General features: G+C 42.7%; 1 protein-coding gene and 1 long non-coding RNA gene across 8 annotated transcripts in view; one reads left to right on the plus strand and one right to left on the minus strand.

The window, feature by feature from the left end:
- Window positions 1-14,812, plus strand: part of GALNT16 (polypeptide N-acetylgalactosaminyltransferase 16) — a 126,707-nt gene that overhangs the window by 33,886 nt on the left and 78,009 nt on the right. The window lies entirely within an intron of this gene.
- Window positions 4,158-7,281, minus strand: LOC105370549 (uncharacterized). The gene is made up of 2 exons (XR_943979.3): window positions 7,137-7,281; window positions 4,158-6,598 (listed from the first exon to the last, which is right to left on the minus strand). It is a non-coding gene; the product is annotated as an uncharacterized LOC105370549 (long non-coding RNA).

Raw genomic sequence — 14,812 nt, forward strand, 5'->3', positions numbered from 1 at the left:
TTCATTGTTTTTATTTAATTCTCATAACAACCTGAAATAGGTGATGTCATTGTGAGGTGGTACAGTATGGTGGTTAAGCATTTGGCCCTTAAAATCTGGCTACTGCTTGCCCTACTGCCTGCTAGCTGTGTGACCACAGGCAAGTCACTTAACCTCTCCGTGCCCAGTTTTCTTATTTGTAAAATGATGATGATCATAGGAGAGTTGTGAGGCTTAAGCGCATTAATATATGTAAAGTGCTGGAACCAATGCCTGGCTTTATAGTAAGCATTAGTTATTCCCAGGACCATGTTACTGATAAGGGAATAGGAAGATAAAGGAGCAGCTACACTGGGACAGTTGGCATTTTCACCCAATGAGGCCAATGCCAGAACCCATACTTTTTTTTTTTTTGAGACGGAGTCTTGCTCTGTCACCAGGCGGGAGTACAGTGGCATAATCTCGGCTCACTGCAACCTCTGCCTCCCAGGTTCAAGCAATTTTCCTGCCTCAGCCTCCTGAGTAGTTGGGACTAGAGGTGTGCACCACCATGCCCAGCTAATTTTTGTATTTTTAGTAGAGACGGGTTTCACCACGTTGGCCAGGATGGTCTTGAACTCCTGACCTTGTGATCCACCCGCCTTGGCCTCCCATCTCGCTCTGTCACCCAGGCTGGAGTGCAATGGTGCGATCTCGGCTCACTGCAACCTCCACCCCCTGGGTTCAAGCCATTCTGTTGCCTCAGCCTCCCAAGTAGCTGGGATTACAGGTGCGTGCCACTGCGCCTGGCTAAGTTTTGTATTTTTAGTAGAGATGGGGTTTCACCATGTTGGTCAGGCTGGTCTTGAACTCCTGACCTCAAATGATCCATCTGCTTTGGCCTCCCAAAGTGCTGGGTTACAGGCATGAGCCACCGCGCCCAGCCCCCTTTTACCTTTTTAAAAAGCCACTTTACTGAGGTACGATTTACATACCAAAAAAATTCACTAGTTCTAACTGCAATTCAAGGACTTGTACTAAATTTACACTTGTGCAACTTACACCATAATCAAGTTTGGAACGTTTCTGTTATCCCAAAAGGATCCCGCATGCCCACATACAGTCACTTCCCCTTCCCACCCCCAGCCCTAGGGAACCACTAATTTACTCTCTGTCTCCATGGATTTGCTTTTTAGGGGAGACATTTTATATCAATGGAACCTACAATATGCAGTCTTTTGTGACTAGCTTCTTTCACGTTACCTGATTTTTTAAATATTTATTTACTTTTAAAGAGGGGAGTCTCATCATGTTGCCCAGACTGGATTTGAACTCCTAGGCTCAAGGGATCCTCCTGCCTCAGCTTCCCAAGGAGCGGGGATTTCAGGCACAGGACACCGCGCTGGCTCACATGATATTTTTGAGGTTCACCCATGTTGTAGTTTATATTAGTAGTTTGTTCATTTTTATTGATGAATAATATTCCATGGAATGGATATGCCTCATATTTTTTCATTCACCAGATGATAGACATTTGGATTGTTTCCACCTTTTGATCTTTATGAATACCTTTTAAAATTTTAATAATCTATTACGAAAAAATTTAAACATACAATGAACCCCCACGGGCCCATCAACCACCTCAACATTTAACATTGGCCGGGTGCCATGGCTCACGCCTGTAATCCTAGCACTTAGGGAGGCTGAGGCGGGTGGATTGCTTGAGCTCAGGAGTTCGAGACCAGCCTGGGCAACATGGGGAAACCCTGTCTCTACCAAAAATACAAAAGATTAGCTGGGTGTGGTGGCGCATGCCTATAGTACCAGCTACTTGAGAGGCTGAGACGGGAGGATCGCTTGAGCCAGGGTGGTTGAGCCTGCAGTGAGCTGAGATTGCGCCCCTGCACTTCAGCCTGAGGGACAAAGTGAGACTCTGTCTCAAAAAAAAAAAAAAAAAAAATTAGGCTGGGCACAGTGGCTCACACCTGTAATCCTAGCATTTTGGGAGGCCGAGGTGGGCAGATCACTTGAGGTCAGGAGTTCAAGACCAGCCTGGCCAACATAGCGAAACTCTGTCTCTACTAAAAATACAAAACTTAGCCAGGCATGGTGGCACGTGCCTGCAGTCCCAGCTACATGAGAGACTGAGGCAGAAGAATTGCTTGAACCCAGGGGGCAGAGGTTACAGTGAGCTGAGATCGCACTACTGTACTCCAGCCTGGGCGACAGAGCGAGACTCCATCTCAAAAAAAATTAAAAAATTAACATTAACATTTTGCCATTGTTCTTTCATCGAAACCACTCACAATATATTTTTTTTTCTGGAGTACTTAATTTCTCATAGGTAATATATTAATCAGGTTCTAAGACCAAGGAGTATAAGAAGATATTTCTTTCACTCTGGAAAGTCCTATCCCCCATCTGCTCAGTTCTCAGTTCCCTCCAACCACCGTTTTGTTCATGGACCCTTCCAGAATTTCTTTATGCATATCGTTATCAGTCCATTCTTGGATTGCTGTAAAGAAATACCTGACATTAGGTAATATATAAAGAAAAGAGGTTTCACTGACTCTCGGTTCTGCAGGCTGTACAGGAAGCATAAAAGCTTCTGCTTCTGGAGAGGCCTCAGGAAACTTCCAATCATGGGAGAAGGTAAAGGGGGTGTGAGCCACTTCACATGGCCAGTGTAGGAGGAAGAGAGGAGGAGGAGGAGGTGCTAAATACTTAAACAACCAGATCTCATGAGAACTCACTATTATGAGAACAGCACCAAGGGGGATGGTGTTAAACTATTCATAAGAAATCTCCCCCATGGTCCAATCACCTCCCTCCAGGCCCCATCTCCAACACTGGGGATTACAATTCAACATGAGATTTGGGTGGGAACGCAGAGCCAAACCACATCACATATGCAAGAAAATATAAATATATAGTCTTGCTCAGGTGTGTTGGCTCATGCCTGTAATCCCAGCACTTTGGGAAGCCGAGGTGGGCAGATCACTTAAGTTCAGGAGTTCAAGACCAGCCTGGGCAACATGGCAAAACCCCATCTCTACAAAAATATAAAAATTAGCCTGGCATGGTGGCACACACCTGTAGTCCCAGCTACTCAGGAGGCTGAGGTGAGAGGATTGCTTGGACCTGGGAGGCAGAGGTTGCAGTGAGCCGAGATCACACCACTGCACTCCAGCCTGTATGACAGAGCCAGACCCTGTCTCAACACAAAATAAAACTAGATAGATGGACAGATAGATGATAGATAGATAGATAGATAGATAGATAGATAGATAGATAGACAGATAGATGATAGAGATAGACAGACAGATAGAGCTAGATAGATAGATAGATAGATAGATAGATAGATAGATAGATGCCTTTTCTCACCTTTTACACAAAAGGTAGCATATTACATATACTGTTTTGTACCTTGATTTCTTTTTCACTTAATAGTATAGCTTAGAAATCTTTCCATATCAGAAGACAGCTTCCTCATTCTTTTATTTACATTTTTACAGCTACATATTATTTCGTTGTGTAGCTATACCATAAGTTATTCAATCAGCCACCTACTGATGGACATTTGGATTATTTCAGTCTTTTACTCTTAACAGGCAATGCTGTGGTTCATTGCCTTGTACATATGTCATTCATCATGCAAAATATCTATAGGATATATTTCCTAAAAAGGAATTGCTGGGTGAGAGAGTATGTCCATTTGTAGCATTTGTAATTTTTACTGATTTGCCCTCTTTGGCGGTCGTATCGATTGACACTCCCAGCAGACGTATACACTCGCAAGTTCTTGATTTCCTATTGCCTCACCAATAGAGTGAGTTATCAGACCTTTTAACTGTTACATAATAGTTCTGTTTTTTAGCTCTCGCCTCATTTTCTTTCTTTCTTTTACTCTTTTTGCTTTAGTTTATACATTTTTATGTTAAGAATTTTTGAATGGGCTATTCTTATACACCTTGACTCATGTTTTAAGGTTTTTAAAAATAACAGCTTTAATGAGGCATGATTCACATACTATACAATTCACCCATTAAAGTGTACCAGTCCATGGTTTTTAGTACTTAGCTCACTTTTAATGCTCATCCTCAATCTTTAAGAGTATTTTTTTCTAATTGCATTAGTATTATGTATTTGGAAAAGCCAAAAAAAAAAACAAACTACAAAGAAAAACATAACACTGTCACTTAGAGATATCCAGTTAACATTTTTTTAAAAACAAAAATAATACCATATTGTAGATCACATGCTGAGGTTTCTTTTATCATTCTCAGTTCTTCTAAGTCTCTCAATTATGTGTTCAGCCTCTAGGTCTTCTAGTGACATAATCGTCGGTGATGATAACAATAGCAATAATAACTATAATACTACCGACTTACTGAGAGCTTGTTATGTGCCAGCATTGTGTCTTACATACTTTATGTGCTCGATCTCAATTAATCCTTGAAACAGTTTGTTGGTCGGTACTGTACTCACCCCTATTTTACAGCTACAAAAACTGAGGCTCAGAGAGGTTAAGTAATTTGCCTCATGTTAAACAGGTAGCAACTGAAAAAACTAAGGTTTGAACACTCATCTATGCAACTTCAAAATCTCTAGTCACTCAGCTACAAGTTCAGACTAGAGACATTCAGGACTGGTTAAAGAAAGCAGCCCCTCTCTCAGGAAGAGTCAGGAGGGCAGAGGAGTTACAGCCTCTCAACAGCAACGTTGGGGCCTGCCAATGCCAGTTCCTGATGCCCCCCTCTTTCTCAGGGCTGGTGAGTGCCCAGCGCCCTTCACCTGCATTGGCAGGATTCTGTTCTAGCTGTGTGTGGCCCTCTCTCTGCCCCTGGAGGGCCCTCCCTCCTTCAGCTTGTAGATAGGGAGTGGAGTGGGTAAGGAGGTGTTGCTGGAGAAGTGGCCTATATCACAAGAAGGTGTGGGAACCCCTCTGGCGGGAGTCATCTCATAGCTCTTCCAACCTGTTGGTAGGGAATGATAGAACAATTCCAAATCTCTGCACTTCACAATCAGCCTCCCGTTCCCTGTCGCCACTTCCCACGTCCTCCACCATGTTCCATCCTCACAGACACTTTGGGGGCAACTTCCCCTGCAGTTGCCCAAGCCAAGTAGTCAGCAGGAGCTTCATGGCTGTTAGCTGGAGCGGAAGGCTGGCTGCCTGGTTGCCACAGCAACAGCTGTTGTAAGTAAGTGGTCCTTGTGACAGAAGACAATTTAATAAGCCAGATCTGGGGGCCTAGTGGGAAGGTTGCTAGTGGCTTTACTGGGTATCTTCTGTGGTGCTGGAGCTGTAGGCAGGCAGGTGTGACTGAGGAGAGTTGGAGTCGGGGGAGGCCAGGCATCTGCCTTTACCCAAGGGCTGGAGGCTTTTGTCCTGCAGAGGTAGGCCCAGCCAAGAGGGAGCTGCCTCCTGTGTCTTCAGAGATCCCGACACTCAACTCTGGACATCACCCAAGGCCGAGGCCTTGCACTTCTGCTCCCAGCTAGAATGAACTAGCTTGTATCAGAGCAGTTCTTCTGCTGAGAACAACTGGACAATTTGGATGAAGCATAAGAAACATCTGTGTGCAGTTGAGACTGAGGCAGACAGGACAGGTGTCCATATCTAGGGCCCGATTTCAGCACGTGCAGTAGCCCTGGGAAAATGGCATGCTGTTTCTGCATCTCTGTGCTCCTAGTAAAACAGCAAAACTCCTGGAAAGAGTTGCCTATCCTTGCTGTGCTGTTTCTCTCCTTTCATTCTTTCTTGAATCCACTCCAGTGAGGTTTTTGTCCCTACTGTTCCTCCAGAATTGTTTGTCAAGGCTGTTCTCACTTCATTTGCTCCCTAAGGGATCTCGCCTCAAGTCTCAGGTTCCTAGGAAGCTGACTCGGAGACGGAGGTTTGCATGCAGCAAGTTTATCTGGCAGTACTTTGGAATGAATACTCGCAAGGCACACAGGATGGTGCAAAGGGAGATGCTCCACTGTGATGGTGTTGCAGCAAAGACTGTGGCTGACCTCCGGGGGTGCTCCAGAGCTGGGGCAGCCTCATCCGTAAGGTGGGGTGGGGAGTGCTGAGCAGTGTGCTGTGGAGGCATTACCTTGAGTCTTCCTAATGTCCTTAAGGAAGAGGTTCTGTCATTGTCCCCATTTTGCAGGTGCAGAGGTGGAGGCTGAGTGAATTATACATCTTGCTCACTGTGGGGAGCTGAGACTCAAATCAGGTCTTCCTGCCTCCCAGAGCCCTAGCCACGCTTCTGCTTCATAAAGCCTCCAAGAAGCGTATTGAGGAAACTCCTGGGCCAGGTCTCTGGGAGGCCTGTGACTGTCACTCCCCTGGGCTGGCTGCTGGGAACCCCATCTTCACCATGGAACTTTCAGGCTACAGTGGAGGCTTCCCACAGATTCTGTCCTTATCTCCTTCTAAGACACCAAGGTGTCCGTGTTACAGGGTCTGATGGAGCAGCTCTGAGATGTTACAAGAGTTCGAGCAGCCTCAGAAGCAGGATGAAAGGATGAAGCCCCAGAGAGCCAGGCCTCTCTTCCCCAGCCCATCAGCGGCTGCTTTTAGCACGTGTGTGCACATTTTAGGAAGGGATGTTTCCTAGGGTGCTGCCTCCTTTCCCCACAAATGGCTCTGAAACTTGAAAAAACAAAAGTCAATTCCAAAATAAGCGAATCTCTAACCACTGGGTGAACCCCTCTGTGTCCCCTTGAAGAACTTGTATTTAAAGTGTGTGTGTGCTACACCCGCACACACACATGTGCTCTGATACACACAGACACATCCCTGTCCACAGCAAAGCTTGTGCCTGTGTATACACATAAGCACACTCACATATTCACAAATATGCAGACCCAGAAATGGAAACACTGAGCAGCATCAGCACTGGGGTGATGCCACTCCTGCCCTTGCTGTCACTGGGGCTGTAGCTAGTGATGCTTCTGCTGCTGCCACCTCTAAGGCCACCTCTAAGAGCCGTTACCCTCTAGGGAGCCCAGGCAGCATTCTCTGATCTCAGAAAACCACGCTTGCTTTTGCCTATTAGGGTCTGGGGTGATGTTTGAAGCCTGCAGGAATGGTTTTAAATATTGATTTGAGTCATCTGCAGAATCTTCCATTTCACTTGGGGTGTGCCCATTTAACCTCTGGAGAGCTACTGCCAAATCACCTGCCCTACCTGCAGGCCCTCCTCCTAGGTCCTAGCAGTCCCCTGTGCAATGACAGTTGGTAGAGGTCTTGGAGTTTGGTTCTTGGTACAGCTTCTTGAGAGATCTTTCAAAGCAAGAGGACATCCAACTCAGAATTAAAGCAAAACTCCTGTTCCTACCCCCACACTCCCCTCCCCGCCCCATCCCAAAGGCATGGGACATAGGAAGTCAGAGGTACCAACTTGGGATTTACCTTCTGGTTCTTCCTGTCCGTGGAGCCCTCCCAAATTGAATGCTTTTCAGCGGTACTCAGAGTACAAGAAATTCTTCCTCTGCATCATATTCTCTCTCACACACTTTAAAGTGCTTGCTGTGAGGCAGCCCCCTGGGAGTGCTGAGCTAATTCTATCCCTGGCTTTGTTCCTTTTTTCAAAATCCATGTTTAACCAGTTTGGCCCAAAAGGAACTTGGGGATTTCAGGCTCCAGGGAGTGCCAAAGGCTTGGGATTGCACCAGGGATTCTGAATCTGGACTCCAAGAATGGACCTCAGGAGTTTGTGAGCCTCTGAAAGCCCCTGCAGCTGCGTGAGAGTTTATGTGTGCTTTTTTCCTGAGGAAAGAGTCCATAGCTTTTAACAGGGTCTCAGCAGGTGTGCGATCACTCTTCCCTACATCACCCAGAAAAGGTTAAGAACCATTGCCTCAGGGACAGAGTATGTAGCTTTATTTTTTTAAATTATTATTATTTGAGACGGAGTCTCTCTGTGTTGCCCAGGCTGGACTGCAGTGGTGTGATCTCTGCTCACTGCACCCTCCACCTCCTGGGTTCAAGTGATTCTCCTGCCTCAAACTCCCTAATAGCTGGGATTACAGGTGCATGCCACCGCACCTGGCTAATTTTTGTATTTTCAGTAGAGACAGGCTTTCACCATGTTGGCCAGGCTGATCTCAGAGACTCGCCTGCCTCAGCCTCCCAAAGTGCTGGGATTACAGGTGTGAACTACTGCACCCAGCCCAAAGTATGTGGCTTTATAAACAGGCAGAGTTAAGTAACTGCATTCTAGAATCAAGAATCTAGGGAAGGGCCGGGCGTGGTGGCTCACTACTGTAATCCCAGCACTTTGGGAGGCCAAGGCAGGCAGATGATTTGAGCTCAGGAGTTTGAGACCAGCCTGGGCAACATGGTGAAACCTGCTCTCTCCAAAAAGTACAAAAAATTAGCTGGGCATGGTGGTGTGCACCTGTAGTACCAGCTACTCGGGAGGCTGAGGCAGGAGAATCGCTTGAACCCAGGAGGCGGGGTTGCAGTGAGCCGAGATGGCGCCAGCTTGGGTGACAGTGAGACCTCATCTAAAACAAACAAACACACACACAGAAAACAGAATCTCAAGAGGGATTCTTAACAAGAAGTTGAGGTGGGGGTGCTGCATGCAAAGTTTTGTGTGACTCTGCCTTCTGAGAATAGGATACAGATTTCATTAGATCCCCAGAGAGTTCATAACTCCCTGATTTAATAATCACAGATACAGAGAATTAATGATGTTAAAGTATTAGTGTCATCTGAGAAGGTAGATATTTTTAATAGTGATTCTTTTTCAAAATGTAAATGCATTTATTCATTGAAGAAAACTTGAAAAAAATCTTCTGGAAATCTTCCAAAAATCACCTATAATCCCAGCACCCAGAAATAATAACTGTTTTTTTAAAAAAAGATTTCTCCAGTGTGTTTGATGTCTGTCTGTCTCTCTCATTCTCTCTTTCTCTGTGTGTGTATGGGCATGTACACACAAACCTAGAATCATACTGATTTTAACATGATTTTTTTATTTATGTAATATCTATTTTATGAGCACTGTCTCCTGTTGTTAGTTTTCTAAAACAGTGTTTTTCAAACTTTGTTTAGTAATGGAACCCTTATTTTTAAACCGAATCTTGCACAGAAGTCTAAAATATAAAAGAGATAAAAGGTGAGATGCTCTAGTTAAAGCACAGGAAGAGAAGAAACACAATTTGAAAGCTACTGCACTAAAAATATGAATTTTAATGGCTATATTGTATTCCATCATATGGACATATAGGGTGACCAGATTTAGCAAGTAAAAATACAAGACATCCAGATAAATTAGGGTTTCAGATAAAAATGAATAAATTTTTAGTATAACTATATCCCAATTTGAATTTTAGATAAACAAATACTATAAAAAAGAATACATTTTTAGAATAACTGTGTCTTACAGCAATATTTGAGACATACTTATACCAAAAAAATTATTTGTTGCTTATCTGAAATTTTAATTTAACTGGGTATCCTGTATTTTACATGGCAACCTTGTGATAATGCATAATTTAACCACTCTCCCATTATTGGACATTTAGATTATTTCCAATATCTTACTAAGAAATATTAAGCATGTATCTTTGTACCTACATCTTCATTACTTATTATTTTATAACACCCTAGAATCAAAATTGCTAGACCAGAGGTTGTGAACATTTTAAAGGCTTTTGATGCATTTGCCAAGTTGTTTTCTACAAAGAAATGTACCTTCCACAGCTGTATGTGAGGGCGCCCTGACCCATTGTTACTGGTTTACATTTGCTCGTCATTCTGCCTCAGCAAGGTCCTGAGCCTCCAGGTGGGATCCAAGATAGCTAAAATGGATGGGGCCTGAAGGTGCTAAAGAACCCAAAGGGAGGGGCTGGTTAGCCCAATAGCATCTGCTGCTTGGGGTCAGGGATCAGGGCTGATAAGAAATAGGGTAGAGATGGCAGAGACTTCACCCAGGGAAAGTCAGCTCCAATCATGTGTTGCAGAGACCATCCTTTCTCCATTAAAGTAGCAGTAAGCTGTACACTAGGCCCATGTAATGCGTTATATTTAGTAAGCAGCCTTACTTACCATAAAGACAGCCATTCCAAGAAGGGGAGAGGCTACAGAGGAAAAAGTCTGAAAAGATTTTTTCCCACTTAAAAAATAACAATTACATAAACATAGTAACAACCGAAAGGATGGAAAATCACCCATAATCTTCCCATCCTAACAAATCACAGTTTTTAGTTTTCAGTATACCCTTCCTGTCAAGGTCCGTAATTTTTACACAACTGCAATCACAAAGTGTATACAATTTTATCCTGCCCTTTCCTCCCTTTATTGTGCAAGCATTTTTCTGTACTGCTACAGAGCTTTCATAGCTAATATTATTATTGTTATTTTTTCTTGATTTCAGAGGTATAATTATTCAGCAAGATAAATGAGAACATCTAGATAAACAAAAATGGGATCAAAATGCACATATTAATTTGTAGCTCATTTTTTCCCATTTAACTGTGTCTAGTGAACATCTTTCCATGTTAAAAAATGTTGATTTCTGCGTCATTTTTATAATTGCAATGTGTTCTATTTAAGGAGTCTTCCATCACTTTTTTTCCGGGCTCTTTTTGGGGGTGGGGGTGAGGGATCAGCTCACGTTTAATGATGACACTTTAAAATTGTACAAGTATTTTCACAGTTGCCCACTACAAATTTAGCCTCTTAAAATGACAGGAAAACACCAACCAATCGCAGGTTAAATAAGTTTACCCCTTCAGTTCTGATTTGCAATATCCAATATTCTTTTGAAATATGAAACAGACTGGTAAAGGCCAACAGTAAATTTCTGCCCTCTTGACAGAGTTGGAGAGTTCAGTCCAGGTTCTATTATGGTTTAATTTTATAAGTGAAGAGATGGAGATTCAGAAAATTTAAATAACTTCTAATAGATCACATGTCAATGAGTGAGAAAATGTAGGGCTTTTAATTCCATATGTGGTTTTTTCTTTTATATTATTGCAGTAAGAACACATAACATGAGACCTACCTTCTTAGCAAATTTTGAAGTGTAAAATCCATTATGATTGACTATAGGTACGATGTTGTACAGCAGACTCTAGAGCTCATTCTTTTTGCTTGGCTGAAACTTCACACCTGTTGATTAGTAATTCCCCATTTCCTTTACACCTCCCCCAATAGCCCCTGGCAACCATGAATCTGACATTTTGATGTCTATGAATTTGACATCATCATATTTTAGATACTTTAAATAAGTGGAATCATGCAGTATTTGTCTTTCTGGGACTGGCTTATTTCACTTGGCATAATGTCCCCAAGGTTCATCTGTGTTGTTGCAAATGGCAGGATTTCCTTCTTTCTCAAGGCTGAATAGTTTCATTGTATGCATCTACCACATTTTCTTTATCCGTTCATCTGTCATGGACATTTGGGTTGTTCCCACATCTTGGCTATTGTGAATAATGCTGCATTGAACAAAGGAGTGCTAATATCCCTTCAAAGTCTTGATTTCAATTCTTTTGGATAAATACCCAGAGTGGGCTTGCTGGATGTTATGGAAGTTCTATTGTTAATTTTTTTAAGAGCTTCCATACTGTTTTCTGTAGCAGCTGCGCCATTTCACATTCCCACTGAAAGCGTGCAGGAGTTCCAATTTCTCCACATCCTCACCAACACTTGTCTTTTTTTTTTTTTTATAATAACCATCCGACAAGTATCTTTTTTTTTTTTTTTTTGAGAGAGAGTCTCACTCTATTGCCCAGGCTGGGGTAGTGTGATCTCGGCTCACTGAAATCTCTGCCTCCCCAGTTCAAGTGATTCTCCTGCCTCAGCCTCCCAAGTAGCTGCGATTACAGACATGTGCCACCATACCTGGCTAATTTTGTATTTTGTGTAGAGACAGGGTTTCATTGTGTTGGCCAGGCTGGTCTCGAACTCCTGACCTCAGGTGATCCACCTGCCTTGGCCTACCAAAGTGCTGGGATTATAGGTGTGAGCCACTGCGCCTAGCCCTGACAAGTATTTTATTGTGGTTTTGATATGCATTTCCTGATGATTAGTGATATTGAGCATTTTTTCATATACCTGTTGGCTGTTTGTATATATTCTTTGGAGAAATGTCTATTCAAGTTCTGAGCCCAATTTTTAAATCAGGTTACTAGTTTTTTGTTTTTGTTTTTTTTAACTGTTGAGTTGTAGGAGTTCCTTAGAATTTTTGGAAATTAACCTCTTATAAGAAATATGACTTGCAAATATTTTCTCTCAGTCTTTTCACTCTGTTGATTGTGTCCGTTGCTGTGCAGAAGCTTTTTTAGTTAGATTTAATCCGGCTTTGTTTATTTTTGTTTTTGTTGCTTGTGTTTTTGATGTCATGTCCACGAAATCATTGCAAGACCAATGGCATGAGGATTTTCCCCTATGTTTTCTTCTAGGAGTTTTGCAATTTCCAGTCTTATATTTGTCTTTAATCATTTTGAGTTGATTTTGGCGTATAGCATAAGATAGGGGCCCAGTTCCATTCTTTTGCATGTGGATATCATGTTTTCCCAGCACTATTTGTAGAAGAGACTATCCTTTCATCATTGCGTATTCTTGGCACCCTTGTCGAACATCAGTTGACCATATATGGATGGGTTTATTGGGGTATCTATTCTGTTCCAGTGGTCTCTTTGTGTCTATGCCAATTCCATACTGTTGTTTGATGACTGTAGCTTTGTAATATATTTTGAAATCAGAAAGTGTGATGCCTCCAGCTTTGTTTTTCCTTTTCAAAATTAATTTGGCTGTTTGTTGTTATATAATAACTTACTGAGCCAATTTCCTACAGTTGGAACTAGGGTTTTTTTCCCACAATCTTTTGCTGTTATAAGTGAAACCAAATTTTAATCATTTCCTTGGGAAAGACCCCTAAAATTGAATCACATGTACACTTTTTTTTACTTTTGATCATACTGTTAAATTTATCTCTAAAAGATTTATACCAGTTTATACTCCCACTAATAATGTATTAAAGAGTACCTAGTTCCCCACAGCCTATATCAAATATTGTAAATCGTTGCTAAATATTCTATTCAGTTGAGAGAACATAATTTATTTACTCTTCTTCCTGCTGTTAACATTTAGATTATTTTCAAATTTTCATTCTTACAAAACCATCATGAACATCTTTCTGCCTAATATTTGTCTATAAGTTGAATCATGATTAAAATAGGAATCCTGGGTGAGAGGGCATATTTACCCTTGTCACTTATACTTTCCAAAGGTTAAACTGAAATCTTCTGGGTAGATGGGAGTTTTGGGGCACCCTGCCATGTCTAGGGGAAGGTAATGGACAGAATGAAATAGAAGAGGCCATGTGCCAAAGGATAAAACACTAGAAACGTACTGCCAGACTGTTTTCCAAAAGGGTACTAATTTAATAACCATTCCGGTGGCTTAAAAACAATTTAATGCAGTATTCAAAGATATTAGGTAAGGAAGAAAAGCACTATCCACCATTAACCTGCAATAATGTCATTCCTCACAGAGGACCCTCAACCTCAATAAAACACACATCTCTGTCCCTCCCGGATCCAAAGCTAGCATGCGCATCTGCCTAGCTCATGCACTTGGCGGGAACTACCAGGGGAACTCACAGGGTAGCTCATCTCCTGGGGCTCCTCTGTTCTAGAATCCTTTGTATTTTTATCTCCTGTCCAAAGCTCGAGATCCCCAAGGGAGCAAGTCCCATTTTAGTTGACACCTAATCAAAGCTGCTGGTACTCCTTCAGCTCCTGTGGAGCGTAGGTCTCTGGGGCGCAATGAACACACTTTTTCACGTGACAAACGTACCTCGAGCAGCTACTGTGTGCCAAGCAAAGCGACAGATCACAAAGAAGCTCTCAGCTCTTCAGCAGCCTTGTCCAGAGACCTAGTCCTCACTGTTTCAGCATTTGCTCCATGATCTGCAATAAATATGTATTGAACAATGATAGGATGAGTGGATATTGTTCCGGCTCATTTGATATTTGAGGTGGAAGAAGACTCAGAGATCATCTTGCTGAACCCCCTCCTTTTATACAGTCATTTAGTGATGGCCTCCCATGACCCGATGTGCTTGACACCCCAAGGCAGTACCATTACCTCCTTTCCGCAGCTACGGAAACTGCTTCACTCAGAGGTTAACTTGACTGCCGCTATGGAGTGGCTGTGGTCTAGCTGGAGGAACTTGACTGACATCCCTTTTCAGCTCTCCTTGCCCTGCCTGCCCACCTCAACTAAGTTACTAAGTTAAGCACTCACATCAGGAACTTTAGAAAATATGTTTTTTAATGGTCAAGACGGAAAAGGAAATGGCACCAATTGCCCATGTGCCTAAGTACCTAAGTACCAGCCTCCTGGGAGTGTTCTGTGGTTGATGTCTGCAGTACAGGTGAGGAAAGGCTTGGCTTCTCGGCCCCCACCCCCAGTCCCACCCTGTTTTCAACTGTTAGGCTTGTGCTTTGGGGAGAAATCAGGCAAAGTCAAGTTGGGTTGCCAACCATCACACGAATGATGAATTCACCTGCAAAAGCACCTCCCACCCCGACTCTGCAATTCAGCCTCCACATCTTGCTCCTCTCCCTCCTCCACTTTCCTCTCCTTCCTGTCCATCAGGACTAAGCTACTCCGGACGGTACCTCGGCCCTCAGATGTTACAGCTGAGGAAGGACTTACTTTTCATCAATGTATTTATCCCTGAGTTTCACTCTGAGGATGATGATGATAATGATGACAGTAATGAGCTCAATCCTTTTATCTTAGGTAGAGAATTAAGGTTCACCTGTTTCTTAAAAATTTTTATTATAAAAAATAAATCCTTATTTATATAAAAAAACCTGACATGTATGAAGGAAAAGG

This window comes from Homo sapiens, chromosome 14 (genome assembly GCF_000001405.40).
Source record: "Homo sapiens chromosome 14, GRCh38.p14 Primary Assembly".
NCBI classification, from domain to species: domain Eukaryota; kingdom Metazoa; phylum Chordata; class Mammalia; order Primates; family Hominidae; genus Homo; species Homo sapiens.